This window comes from Homo sapiens, chromosome 12 (genome assembly GCF_000001405.40).
Source record: "Homo sapiens chromosome 12, GRCh38.p14 Primary Assembly".
NCBI classification, from domain to species: Eukaryota; Metazoa; Chordata; class Mammalia; order Primates; family Hominidae; genus Homo; species Homo sapiens.
The window spans coordinates 84,475,129-84,489,663 of record NC_000012.12 but is presented as its reverse complement, the minus strand read 5'-3'; positions in this window follow the sequence as shown (position 1 = coordinate 84,489,663).

Genomic DNA, 14,535 nt, shown 5'->3' with positions numbered 1-14,535 from the left:
TGTTGTTCAAGTATATTTTTATAAAAGATCATGAAATTAAAGTATAAAGACTATGTAGATAAAATAAAATGTAATAACTTCTATAATTTATGTTATATGTTTCTATTCATTTATTTAATAAAGATTACTTATTCAATGTTTAATATATAACAAATGTATTAAACCAAGAACTAAATTAGAAAAAATAATTACTTTCTACTACTTATTTTCTTGGTTATTCTGCAAAAATATTGAGTGTTTTTGTTGCTTTTTTTTGCTTATTAGTATGTTCTAAATTTTCTACAGTGAACATATATTATACATGTAGTACAACATTAAAATATTCTGATTATATTTTAGACAAATGTATAGTCAACTACATGAAAATGCATCGAAATGGTTATTTAATTCTTAGGTTGTTTTTGCCACCACATATTTAGGCCAGGAATAATCTAATTGGTTACATGTTACATTTACAAGTAACATGGAAAACTTTAGGAAATATGAAAAGTGATAATATTCTGTAATTTTTTAAGATATAGGATTTCCTGTTTTTCTGAATCAGGCCTACTTGGAAATTTTGTTTTGTTAATTCCCAAACACAAGCTGTGTTAGAGATGTGGTCTGTTCACTCCTTCCCCAAGGACATGCTGTGTTTATCACACACCTCATTTCATCCCATTATTCTACTAAGCCATCTTGAGATGTGTCTTTGTTTGTTTTGTTTTTTTAAAATTCATTTTACGTCTGTGGTAGAACTTCAACAGAGAGAAATATCTATTTTTATTTTTAATAAAGTTGCCTTAAAATATGGATAGGATGCATTATGCTAAAGTAATATATTCCTAACAATATATTAAAATGATATTGACATTATCGACAATTATCTCTAGGCTTTTAAATGTAGTGTTATGAAACAAGTAGTGCTTCCCATGTTATAGATCAATTGTGAGCATATTTACATAAGAACACAAATCATATTTTATTCAAAGTATACATTCCTACTGTAATGCATATGATCACAAATTGAACTACAGGATAAAGAGAAAATAAAGTTGTTTGACAATATGGGTATATTTTTCCCTTATGCTTTAAAAGTGGTCCAAAAATGTCTTATTGGCAATCTATGGCAACATTCTTGTAAAAGAAACAAAGAGAAAGGTAATATCAGGCTGGTGTTTCAAGATACAAAAGAAAGCAAACACAGCTGTGTTCCGTACATGTTCATGGGTGAGTTCATCTGCTTTCTCTCTCTTTCTGTTTTTCTTTTTCTCTTTATTAAACTAAAGTTTTAAAACGTGTTCCTTTCATGGTATTCTAAAAAAGTAAAGGGGGAAAAACAGATGGCACTATGAATAAATTAACTAAAGACTGGAATCTTCAAAGGAAAAAAAGTATAAAACTTTTCAATATTTACACTGTTAAAAATAAAAAAAGGAAGGGGGTAACTTCCTGGATTAAAATGGAGTCAATTTCTTTCTACTTTCATCTAAATATTCCCAGAACATGAACACCTGAAATTTATTTAAAGTGCAATATCTAAGATCAACAGAAAACTAATAGAAATTGTGTTAAGTATCAATTAATATAAATTACAGTTATAAACACCATCAGTGACAGACTGTCTCATCACCTCATGAGACATGGTGCCATGAGTGGTTTTTGTTGTTGTTTGTTTGTTTTCCACTCTCTCCTCTTGATTCAGAAAAATCAGAGTTTGTGCCAAACAGAAAACTTGGGAATCATCTTTCTTCTCTCTCCTGCTGCTACCTTTTTAAAGTAAACATCTGTTCTAGGTGACTGTTACTTAATCTTGTCTCTCCAACATTACTTGACATCTTTTCAAAAAATGCAACTTCTACCAATTAATGTGGCAGGAAATATCAAGTGTTTGGTGATACCATATTGCTTCCTGAAAGGTGTAAAATTTAACAATAAAGTTCTTTAGACAAGTAAGAGGCCGAAAAGTCTGGACAGTGTGTGGTCAAAATTATATGAACTCTCATTTGCTACCTTTCAGTGCTTGAGACCCAGGCAATGGGGACAGGAGAATAATCATAGTTGGCAGTTGAACTGAGAAGCTGCATATTACACTGCTTTTCACATGTAGTTTGGAGATGGACTTCACCCCCACCTAAGTGCACAATGAATTACCCAAAATCAAACTAGCAAGCTAAAAAAGCTTAATTAACTCTTCTCTTCAGCAAATGAACAGATGAGGTTTCTCCTGGATAAAAACTAGTAATAATAAGTAAAGGAAACTTAACAGACTTATAATAAAACATCATAGAAAATAAGCAGAAAAATATCCAGAGACTCAAAAAGACTGCTTTACTAGGCTATAGGTTCAAAAGGCATCCCCAGCTCCAACAGTGCTGGGTACCCAGGACATAATGACTGTGCATAAATTATGTAAGGATTTGTAATGATGGTGTGGTGATGGAAAGTGTGTGATTAAAGTGGAATATAAAATTTAGCACATGTGGAAAATAAGAAAAAGAGAGAAATTGTAGATGAAATGATTCAATCCTGGATGTTTGAGACAATGATGCTACCAAAAATTCAAATGTGGCTAACAAAATAAGATGTGAAGGGAAATGAGTTTTATAATATAAATATGTAGTAGTAGATACTATTTCTTTGCTTAGATGTTGATAAAATTATGTTATCTGATTTAGAAAGAGGAACAAATAGTGGCTTGTTGGATAGTTTTGTATGAAAATTTTGACAATACTTTATTACAGGGAAAAAATTGTTAGACAGTGGTTTAGCATCTTCTAAATAATATAAGAAGATGGCCTCTAAGAGTAAGATGCAAAATATCATAGTAAGAGAAAATGTTGATTTTAACAAAAAATTTAAGAAGGAGAAACTTGGTGTAAAGGACTGGAAGCTGATCTTTGAGCCTGACTGACCATATATTTCTTTAAAATGTCACATTTGCGATTGCAAAACTGAATGCCAATATTCATTCACATTTAAAAAGAATAATATAAAATAACATAATAAAACATGAACATAAAGTGCAAAAATTTGCATGTTATTTGATTATAATTTATATATTTTTAATTAAACATATTTTAATCATATAACTGTTATCTCTTCAATCCTATCAGGCAGATTAATCACAAGCAATTATCTTTATAATATAGTGGTGTAAAGATCAAGGTTTTAGTAACTTCCACAAAAATAGGGAACTTTTATGAAAACATTTTTAAGTTGATCATTAGTTCTGAGCAGAAATAATCCTTCTTTTATAATAATTTTCAAAAAGAAACAGAATGGGATAGAAGTAGCTATGGGCAATATAGCCCATAAGGATTTCTCATCTGCCATAGGTGAAACTTACAAACTTGCATCATAGTATAATACACATTTTGAATGTGACTTTGCGTGAATAAAAAACATCACTGTAGGTACCGTAATCTTTCTCTTCTTAAAGAAAAGGAGCCAAACCCCTTTTTTATGTTCTTTAGTATATGATTTTAAAAATCCCAAAGAAACTGTAACATATAATTCCATATTTGTTAGCTTTTTATTTCTACTGGTAGTATGTATAAACTTAGCTGGTGCAGGTTTCGTAGGTGTAGAAAATATGACATGTTAAATAATACAGTTTATAGAAATGTATGAATTTTTCACATGAGTGTTTATGATCCTAAGAACTCACAGCCTATACACATCCCCAAAATTGCTGTGGCACCCGAAACGTCAGTAGTAGAACTTATGGCTCTATGTTTTTAAATCAGAGGTAATTATTGAGATTGGAGACTTTATCTGTTTAATTCACTTCTCTATTTCTAGGACCTAAAACAATACAATAATATGACAAGTGCGCATTCAACATTTATTAAGTGAATGACTTTTCTAATCACTAAGTAAACTGCATGACAAAACTTAGATCCACATAGGTAATAAGCATTATCATTTTAAAAGTTCTGATCACTAAGCAACACATTAATATGAATCAGAAGTTCACAGTTCAATGAAAATATAGAATGTTGGTCAATATAGAATAAATATTACATCTAGTGGAAAGAAAAATGAATCTGTCTTTAGTAACTCTGGTTTAGAATTTCATGTTTATGGATTTATAGTCAGATTAAAATTGGGAAAGAGAATTTACATAGAAGTTTGAAGAGGAAATTTTATTTTATAGAATTATTAACTAAAAGAGGGAACTGGAGTAATGAGCAATTGACCAGTAAGAAGTAAAGAGAACACTAATGAATATAAAAACTGCAGGTGTAAAGAGCAGCCACTGTCACAAGGAAGCATCCCCAAGTGCTGATACTCAGACCTTGTTAAAAACCTATCCCCACCTCACCAGTATGGCTCACTGAATGTGGGGGGTTTAGGGAAAATATAGATGGTTTTGTTAGGTTTTAGTGATTAGGGAAAGGGATTTCAAGATTGTCATTTGTTTTTCTGTCTTGGACAATTAGTTAATTCTAGCAACTTATTGAGGTAGGAAATAGAATGAGATTGAAGGAAACCAAGTGAGCTCACTTTGTATCTGTTAATTTTGTGAAGCTATTCTTACTTAATTGGAGGTGTCTCTTCTGTTACAGTGAAGTTACCCTCTTTCTGTTGATTGCTAGTTCCTCAATTTCTACCTTGGCACACACTCTCTTAACCATAATTTAGAATTTGGCCTCTAAAATTATTTCTGTTCTTTGCCATGTCACCATATTTTCCACCATTAAGAACATCTTTCATCAGTGAACAAAGTACATAATAGAACCATAAGAAAAATGCCTTGGATTCCACATGCCTGTCCAACTCAAGCTACCACATATTTTTTCCATCCCCAGGAAAAGTTTTCACAACGTTATCCATAAACTTAGACCTACGCTTTTCACCACTTTATACTGTTCTCAAACTATTCAAATTGGGCTTTCTTCTTTCCTCTCAATTGAGAGGATCTTGTTGAGATTTCCTTTCTTCTATTCTCATCTCTTTTCTTTTCTTGCTACACTCTCAACTAAGGTGGACTTATCCAAGATCACTGTTCTAAAAGTCATTTATTTGCTTATAATCATTTGTCATTTCTTTGCATGAGATTTATTATTACCTAATATTTTATTTCAAAATTGCTTGGTTATTTATTTATTGCCTATTTTTTTCTGAGAATGTATTATAAAAGACAAGTAGAAAATATTTTTTATTCTCCATCGCATCCCAGCACTAAAAGATATGAACTAGCACAGAGCAGGTATTCAGTACATTTTTCTAAAAATTAAAAAAAATTATGTATTGCATAACATTTCCAATTTCTTCCCAGTGATATTAAAAGAAAGAACAAATTTCATAGCATGATCTAAAGCCCTATATTGTATAACACATGCCAGTCTCTTTAGCTCATCTCCATATATTGTACCCCATTGAGTACTTCCCACTGGCCTCATTTGTGATGCCGAACACACCAAATGAATTTACACATTAGAATATTTGCTGGGTGTGTTAGTCAGGGTTCTCTAGAAGGACAGGACTAATAGCATAGCTGTATATATGAAGCGGAGTTTATTAAGGAGTACTGACTCACATGATCACAAAGTGAAGTCCCACAATAGGCAGTCTGCAAGCTGAGGAGCAAGGAAGCCAGTCTGAGTCCCAAAACCTCAAAAATAGAGAAGCTGACAGTCCAGCCTTCTGTCTGTGGCCAAAGGCCTGAAATCCCCTAGCAAATCGCTGGTGTAAGTCCAAGAGTCCAAAAGCTGAAGAACTTGGAGTCTGATGTTCAAGGGCAGGAAGCATCCAGCATGGGAGATATATGAAGGCTGGAAGACTCAGTAAGTCTCGTCTTTCCAACTCCTTGCCTGCTTTATTCTAGTCACACTGGCAGCTGATTAGATAGTGCCTACCCAGATTGAGGTGGGGTCTGCTTCTCCCATTCCACTAACTCAAATGTTAATCTCCTTTGCTAGCACCCTCACAGACACACCCAATAACAATACTCTGCATCCTTCAATCCAATCAAGTTGACACTCAATATTAACCATCACACTGGGATTACTATTCTGTTACACCAATGATGGCTGCCTTCTTCTAACGATCAGCTTAAAAATGCCTTGTGTTATTGTCAACAATATCTTAGATCCTCTCTGGCACATATAGAAATTCAACAAATATTATTTGAATAAATTATTGAGTATATGAATTAATTAGACTGCTAAATAAGCAGAGATAGAATAAGTAATGAACTTAAAAAGAAAGTTCTGAGAAAACCAATTTTGGTGGTCCTGGAAACCAAAAAAACAAGTGTTTTTCAATGTGAAGGAAATACTTAACTACTGTGATTGAAAATATATCCAGTGCATTGATTACTACAAAATCTCTATCTTCAACTTTGTCTTCTCTTGTATTTATTTTCTCAGCTGCCTAGTGCACAATTTACACTAAATGTCTAACAGTACACAGTCCATCATATCCAAAATCCACCTCATTAACATCATCAAATCCTCAATTGTATTTTGCCAATATTTGCAAGTTAAGCTTGCCAGGAATAAAACTCTGAGGCAAAGATTTGTGTGCAGGCTGCACCAATGACTTGGAAGAGATGTCCCAAATTTGGATAAGGCGACTCTCTTATGTATACCATTATCATCCATGACAATAAAGAAGTTGCTTTCAGCTGTCAGGTTCAGTTGTGACACTCTAAGCAGAGTTGGAGGAACTAATGCTTCCATCCTAAAAAAAGGGGAGGGTATATGGACAGCACAATTCAGTGTTCATAATTCCTACCTCAACTAGAGAATAAACAAGGTCCAATTCAAGGTGAAAAGTAGCACCTTGAAACAATTTAAATACATATCTTTATGTTTTTATAGGAAAATACTCTAATCAGCATCTAGAGTGGAGAGATTGACCTTTACCATATAGGTATTTAGCTAAGGGCCTCAGAAACTAAAGGGAGAGACTAAATATGCTTTGTAAGAAAATATAAAACATTAATTTTTGTTTTTAAGAAAGAAGGAACAAAGGCCGTTGACTAGATAATTAAATGTTGAGATGACATGGAACTGGAGATCAGATAACATAAAACAGTTTTTGAATATGTCTTACTGGAGGGAAATCTGAACTGTAATTACTGGCTCTCTATGTTTCTACTTAAATCAATGTATGTTGTTTGGATATAAATAAATATTCTATTCTTCCCACCACCATTCCAATCTTCAATATAGTCTTCTAAATTTAAATGGTTCCAGGAGGGCGCGTGCAAGTCTGTGTGCATGTGCGCACATGTGTGAATTTTATATGAGTGTCAACATGATGGAAACAGAAACAACTGTGGGATACTCAGATGATCTTTAAATAGAGACAATTTATCTGCAGTGGGTGCTCTGAACTACAGACTACAATAAAAACTTAATGCCCTCTATGCTTTTATACATTATAAAAATAGGGTTTGGGAATTCTGTAGTACTAATTGTTTGGTTATTTATCAGAACTTTGGTGTAAAACTTCCTTGTGAGATTGTAAGATGCTTAAAATCAGAGTGTCTTATTCAGATTTTGCAATGGTTACTTTGACAGAGTAGATTTCCTGGAGTAAAACAGAAAACAATATTTGTTATCTTTGTCTTACACTGTTCCTCACATTTAGTTCTGGGGTGATATCGTCCTTTCCCTGTAGATGAAATCTAAGGCAGAGTTAACATTTAATTATCTATTGCTGTTTTTGTGTAACAAATTGTGCCAAAACTTAGTGTCTTAAAATAACAATGTTTATTATCTCACCATTTCTGTAAGTCAGGAATTGAGACATGGCTCAGGTAGATCTTCAGATTCTGGATCTTTCACAACACTGCAGCTATGATGTTGGCCAGTGCTGTAGTCTCATTTGCAGGCTTGACTGGGGGTAGACACATTTCCAAGCTCATTCTACTCCTCGTTATCAGAATTTCTTTCCTTGCATTCTGTTGAACTGAGGCCTTCATTTCTTAAAAACTGCTGAAAATTAGGCTTTCATAATTTTCTGACCATGCCATGTAGGCCTCTCCATATGTCAGCTCTTAACATGGTATCTGGCTTCATTGAAATGAGCATGCAAGAGGTCAGAGAAAGAATGCCAGCAACACAGAACTTGCAGTCTTTGGGAACCTAATCTCAGTTGTGATGTCCCATCACCTTTGCCATATTTTATCCATTTAAAAACAAATCACCGGATCTAGTTCACATGTAAATGGAAAGGATTACACAAGGGGATAAATATTGATAGTCAATATCATGGTAGGCTATCTTCGAAGTTGTCTACTATAAATATAAATTTTTTTATGGTACTTAGGTACCAAAAATTGTTTGATCATCTCAATTTGTAAATGATCTCTCTCTCTCTTTCCTGCTTCAAATCTATTGGGAAAGATAAATGGTTCACTTTTCTCTTGTCCCACCCACCAGTTTTTGTTTTTTTTTTTTTCTGCTATTTGGGATTGCTATGTTGCACACATTTTGAGACAGTATTCACATTTTATTTAGTGGGAATGATGCCTTTTGGAGTCATAAAAAGTGGGTGGCCAATAAGGAAATGTAGGAAATAGAACAGAAAACAGGAGGAAGTCAAGCAAGAATAAGACCTCAAGTGAAATCATTCAGAAGGTACCTTAAACCTGATCCCATAGAAGAACCCTAGAATTCAAGTTTCACTTCTAAGTTAAACTAACCTAATGCAAAGAGGCTGGGTTTTCTAACTTTCTGTCACATGCCTGTGAATCATTAGGTAAGGACAGTCTTAGAGTGAAAAAGAATTCTCGAGCACTGTCTGGCTCTCAAACGATGTCAAAAGTGGAATCTAGCAGTTTGAAGTACCCTCTTCTGAAACACACAAAATGTTAGAAAGTATTCCAAAATATTCGGAGGATACTGGATGAAGTTCCAGACTTGCAATACAGATGTCTTTTGATAGGACACAGGTATCAAAATATTTTTTCCATTAAATCCTGTCATCATATTTTGGAGTATTTATGAAATTTACTATTTCATGTCTCATTTATTTTACCCCAAATTTTCTTTGTGAAAATTCACTGTTATATTCACTGTAACAAATCTATCTTGTAAGGGACAATCAAAGAGTATGAAGGAAATTATTTATGAGAAGGTTTTTTTCTTTCTTTAGCAACAAATACTCTTAATACATAAAATACAGGAAGGAAGGAAGGAGAGAAGGAATGACATAAAGAAAGAGGGAAAAAGGGGCTAGCTCTGTTGGTTACATTTACAGGGAGTTGTTGTAAAACCAATTCCAGGACAAGCTAAATTGTTGATTGATGCTAATCATGTTGTTAGTATGCTATAATTAAGATAAAGTATCACCATGAATAAAGCATGAATGACTCAACAAAATATATTACCACTGAAAGAAAAATAGCTCTAAATACATGTCCTGATGGTTGTGAGTATATGACTTATTTTTAAGAGATGCAGAGAGGTGCTTTCCATTTATTTTATACATAGCTTTTTCTTAATTCCTTGCAACCTTTGATGTATCACCTGTTCTAGAAAACGTTACCAGTGTCCTCCTTTCAATATTTTTCTTTAATTTTTAGATTACGTATAATAATTGAGTATATTTGTGGAGTACAGAATGATATTTTGATATGTCTATACAATATGTAATCATCAAATCTGAGTTATTAGCATATATATCACTCAAATATTTATCATTTGTGCTAGGAATATTCAAAATGCCCTCTTCCAGCTTTTTGAAAATAAACAATAAATTATAGGATTATCTATATTAACCCTACAGTTATCTATTATCTATATTATCTATATTAACCCTACAGTGCTACAGAAGACCAAGAATCATTCATCCTTTATTGCTGTAATTTTGTATCTGCTAACCCATCTCTCCCCATCCTTCCCTACCTGCTACCCTTCCCAGCGTGTAATACCAACAATTATACTCTCTACTTTGATAACCTCATATTTGTTTTTAGTTCCCATATGTAAGTGAGAACATACTGCATTTATCTATCTGTGCCTGACTTCTTTTGCTTAACATAATGTCCTCTAAGCTGACCCATGTTGCTACAAATGACAGATTTTCTTTTTATGGTGAATTACATTCAATTGTGTATATATACCACATTTTCTTTATTAATTAATCCATCAATGGACATTTTAGTTGATTCCATATCTTTAGTATTGTGAATAGTGCTGCAATATACATGGGGCTGCAGGTATCCCTTTGTTATATTAATTAACTTCCCTTTGAAAAAGTATGCAAAAGTAGTATTTATTGCTGTATTTATACATTGTATACATTTATATATTTACAATGTATAAATACAGCAATACATTGAGATTTATTGTGAGATTTCTATATCATATGGCAGTTCTATTTTTAGTTTTTTAGTACTTTGAGAAATCACCACGTCGTTTTCTATGACTATACTAATTTACATTCTGAACAAGAGTGTATACATTTCATTTTCTCCTCATCTTCACTTTTTTTTTGATAATAGACATTCTAACTGGGATGAATGAAATCTCATTGTGATTTTCATTTGCATTTCCATGGTGATTAGTGATGTTGAGCATTTTTTCATGTATTTGTTCACCATTTTCATGTGTTCTGTTGAGAAGTGTCTATTCAGATCCATTGTCCACATTTTAATCACACTATTTTTTTTTTTTGGTGTTGAGTTGTTTGAGTTCCTTGTATATCCGGGATATTAGTCCCTTGTTGGATAAATAATTTGCAAATATTTTCTCCCATTCTATAGCTTGTCTCTTTACTCTGTTGATTGTTTCCCTCACAGTGCAAAATTCTTCAGTTTACTATAGTCCCACTTTTATATTTTTGCCTTTCTTGACTGTGCTTTTGATGTTTTAGTCATGAAATCTTTGCCTAGACCAACTTTCTGAATTGTTTTTTGTTTGTTTGTTTTCTTGTGGTAGTTTTATAGTTTGGGGTCTTAAATGTAAGTCTTTAATAAATTTTGAATTAATTTTTGTATATGATGATAAATAGTGGTCTAGTTTCTTTCTTCTGCATATGATATCTAGTTTTCCCAGCACAATTTATTGAAGAGTGTGATATTTCCCCAATGTATGTTCTGGGCACAGCTGTTAAAATCCATTGGCTGTAATTACATGAATTTATTTTTGGGCTCCATTGCTCTATGCATCTGTTTTTATACTAATAACATGCTGTTTTGTTTACTATTGTTTTAAAGTATATTTTGAAATTATGAAGTGTGATGCCTCCAGCTTTGTTCTTTTTGCTCAGTATTGGTTTGGCTGCTTGGAAACTTTTTTGATTTTACACTTTTTAAAAAACTTTTAAGTTTGGAGGTACAAGTGCAGGTTTGCTATTTAGGTAAACTAGTGTCATGGGGGTTTGCTGTATGGATTATTTCATCATCTCGGTATTCAGCCTAATACCCATTAGTTATTTTTGCTGATTCTCTCCCTCCTGCAAAAGGTCCCAGCAAAGAACCCCATAAGAAAGTGGGCAAAGACATGAACAGACACTTTTCAAAAGAAGACATACATGCAGCCAACAATCATATGAAAAAAAGTTCAGCATCGCTGATCATTAGAGAAATGCAAATCAAAACCACAATGAGGAACCACCTCACACCAGTAAAAATGGCTATTACTAAAAATTCAAAAATTATCAGATGCTGGTGAGGTTGTGAAGAAAAAGGAACACTTAAGCATACAAATTTTGGGATTTGTTTTTTATATTTCTGTGAAGAATGTTATTGCTATTTTGATAGTGATTGCATTGAATCTGTAGAATGCTTTGTGAAGTATATGGTCATTTTAACAAAATTCTCCTAATCCATGTATATGGGCTGCCTTTCCATTTGTTTGTGTCCCCCGTAATTTATTTCATCACTGTTTTACAGATTTTATTATAGAGGTATTTCAGCTCCTTGATTAAATTTCTTTCAAGTATTTTTTTCTAGTAGCTATTGTCAATGAAATTATCTTCTTGATTTCTTTTTCAGATACTTTGTTATTCATGTATACAAATGCTACTGTTTTTAGTATGGTGATTTTTTCTTAACCTGTAACTTCATTGAATTTTCTAACATCTGAGATTTGATAGAAGTGTTTGGGTTCTTGTATGCATAAGAACATATCATTTGCAAAGAGGAATAATTTTACTTTACCTTCTTCAATTTTGGTGTCCTCTACTTCTTTCTATTGCCTAATTGCTGTGGCTAGGACCTCCAGGACTATGTTAAATAAGACTGGTGAAAGTGAATATATATATAATTTTTAGATTACATATAATAATTGAGTATATTTGTGGGGTGCAGAATGATATTTTGATAAGTCTATAAAATATGTAATCATCAAATCTGAGTGTATATATATATATATATAATATTTTAAATTCTGGGATACATGTGCAGAACATGCAGGTATGTTACATAGGTATACATGTGCCATGGTGGCTTTTTGCACCCATCAACCCGTCAACCAGGTTTTTAGCCCTGCATGCATTAGGTATTTGTCTTAATGTTATCCTTCCCCTGGCCCCCTCCCCACTACCAGCCCCTGTGTGTGATGTTCTGTTCCCTGTGTCCATGTGTTCTCATTGTTCAACTCCCACTTATGAGTGAGAACATGCAGTGTTTGTTTTTCTGTTCCTGTGTTAGTTTGCTGAGAATGATGGTTTCCAGCTTCATCTATGTCCCTGCAAAGGACATGAACTAATTCTTTTTTTATGGCTGCATAGTATTCTATGGTGTCTATGTGCCTTATTTTCTTTATCCAGTATATCATTGATGGGCATTTGGAAGTGGATAGTCTTATCTTGTTCTACTTCCTAGAGGAAAGGCTTTAGCTTTTCTCCATTCAATATGATGTTAGCTGTGGATTTGTCTTATATGGCCTTTATTATGCTGAGATATAGTCCTTCTATGCCTCATTTTTTAAGAGTTCTTAAAATAAAGGGATGTTGAATTTCATTAAATGGTTTTTCTGCATATATTGAGATAATCATACTTTTCCCTTCATTCTGTTGATGAGATGTATAACATATCAATTTGCATATATTGATCTATGCTTGTATCACTGGGATAAATCCCATTTGATTATAGTCTATTATCATTTTGATATCTACTTGGATTTCATTTGCTAATGTTTTGTTAAACTTTTTTTGCATCTATTTTCATCAGGTATACTGTGCTATAGTTTTATATCTTTATTCTGTTCTTGTCTGATTTTGATACGAAGGTAATCCTGGCCTCATAAAATAAATCAGAAAAGAATTTCCACCTCTTCAATTTTTCAAAATAGTTTGAGAATAGTTTGTGTTTCTTCTCCTTCAATAGTTTAGGAGGATCAGAAATTAAGCCATTCAGTCCTGGCCTTTTGTCTGGGGAGACTTCTCATTACTGATTAAATCATGTTACTTATTAACATGTTCACATTTTCTTTTTCTTCTTGGTTCAATCTTAGTAAGTTATATATGTCCAGAAATTTTTCCATTTCCTGTAGGTCTTCCAATATGTATGTGTATAGTTCTTCATAATAGTATTATTTTTCAATTCATCAGTATATAGTTCTTCAGGATAGTCTCTAATAATCCTATTACTGTGAATCAGTTGTAATGTTACTATTTTTTTTCTGATTTTATTTATTTGAGCTTTCTCTCTTTTTTACTTTAGTGTAGCTACAAATCTATCAGTTTTGTTTATTGAAAAAACACATTTTGTTTTAGTGATTCTTTGTATTTTTAAGTATCTATTTCATTTAGTAACTCTGATATTTATTATTTATTTTCTTTTACTAATTTTGCATTTGGCTTCATTTTCCTTTCTACCTTGAGGTACTTCATTAAGTTATTTGATTTTTTTTTTTTTACCTTTTTGTGATGTAGGGAATCTTTCTTTGCTATACATTTCCTCCTTTTTATTTATGATTATTTTCTTTTTGAGACAAAGCCTCATTCTGTTGCCCAGGCTGAAGTGCAGTGGCACAATCACAGCTCACTGATGCAGACCACAGACACACACCACTATGCCCAACTATTCTTTGTAAGTTTTTTTGTAGAGATTGTGTTTTGCCATGTTGTCCAGGCTGGCCTCGACCTTCTGGACTCAAGCGATCCACCCTACTTGGCCTCCCAAATTGTGGGGATTACAGGTGTGAGCCCCCATGCCCAGCCTTTGTTTCCTTCTTAGCACTGCTTTTGATGTGCTACATAGGTTTGTGTATGCAGTGCCCTGTTCTTGCTTTTCTAATTTTTGATGTGCATCATTAGTTTTTTTATTTGAAATCTTTCTACCTTTTTGACATAGCCATTTATTACTACAAACTTTCCTCTTAACACTGCTGTTGTTTGCTCTGATAGGTTTTGGTATGTTATGTTTCAATTTTCATTTGTTCCTGTAAATTTTAAAATATTTTTCTTAATTTCTTCATTGACTCAATTATTATTCAGGAGAACGTTGTTTAATTCCCACTATTCATATGGTTTCAAAAGTTCTTGTTATTATTTATTTCTAGTTTTCTTCCACTGTAGTCTAAGAAAACACTTGATGTGATTTTTTTTTCATATGTTAAGTCTTGCTTTGTGACTTAATGAATGGTC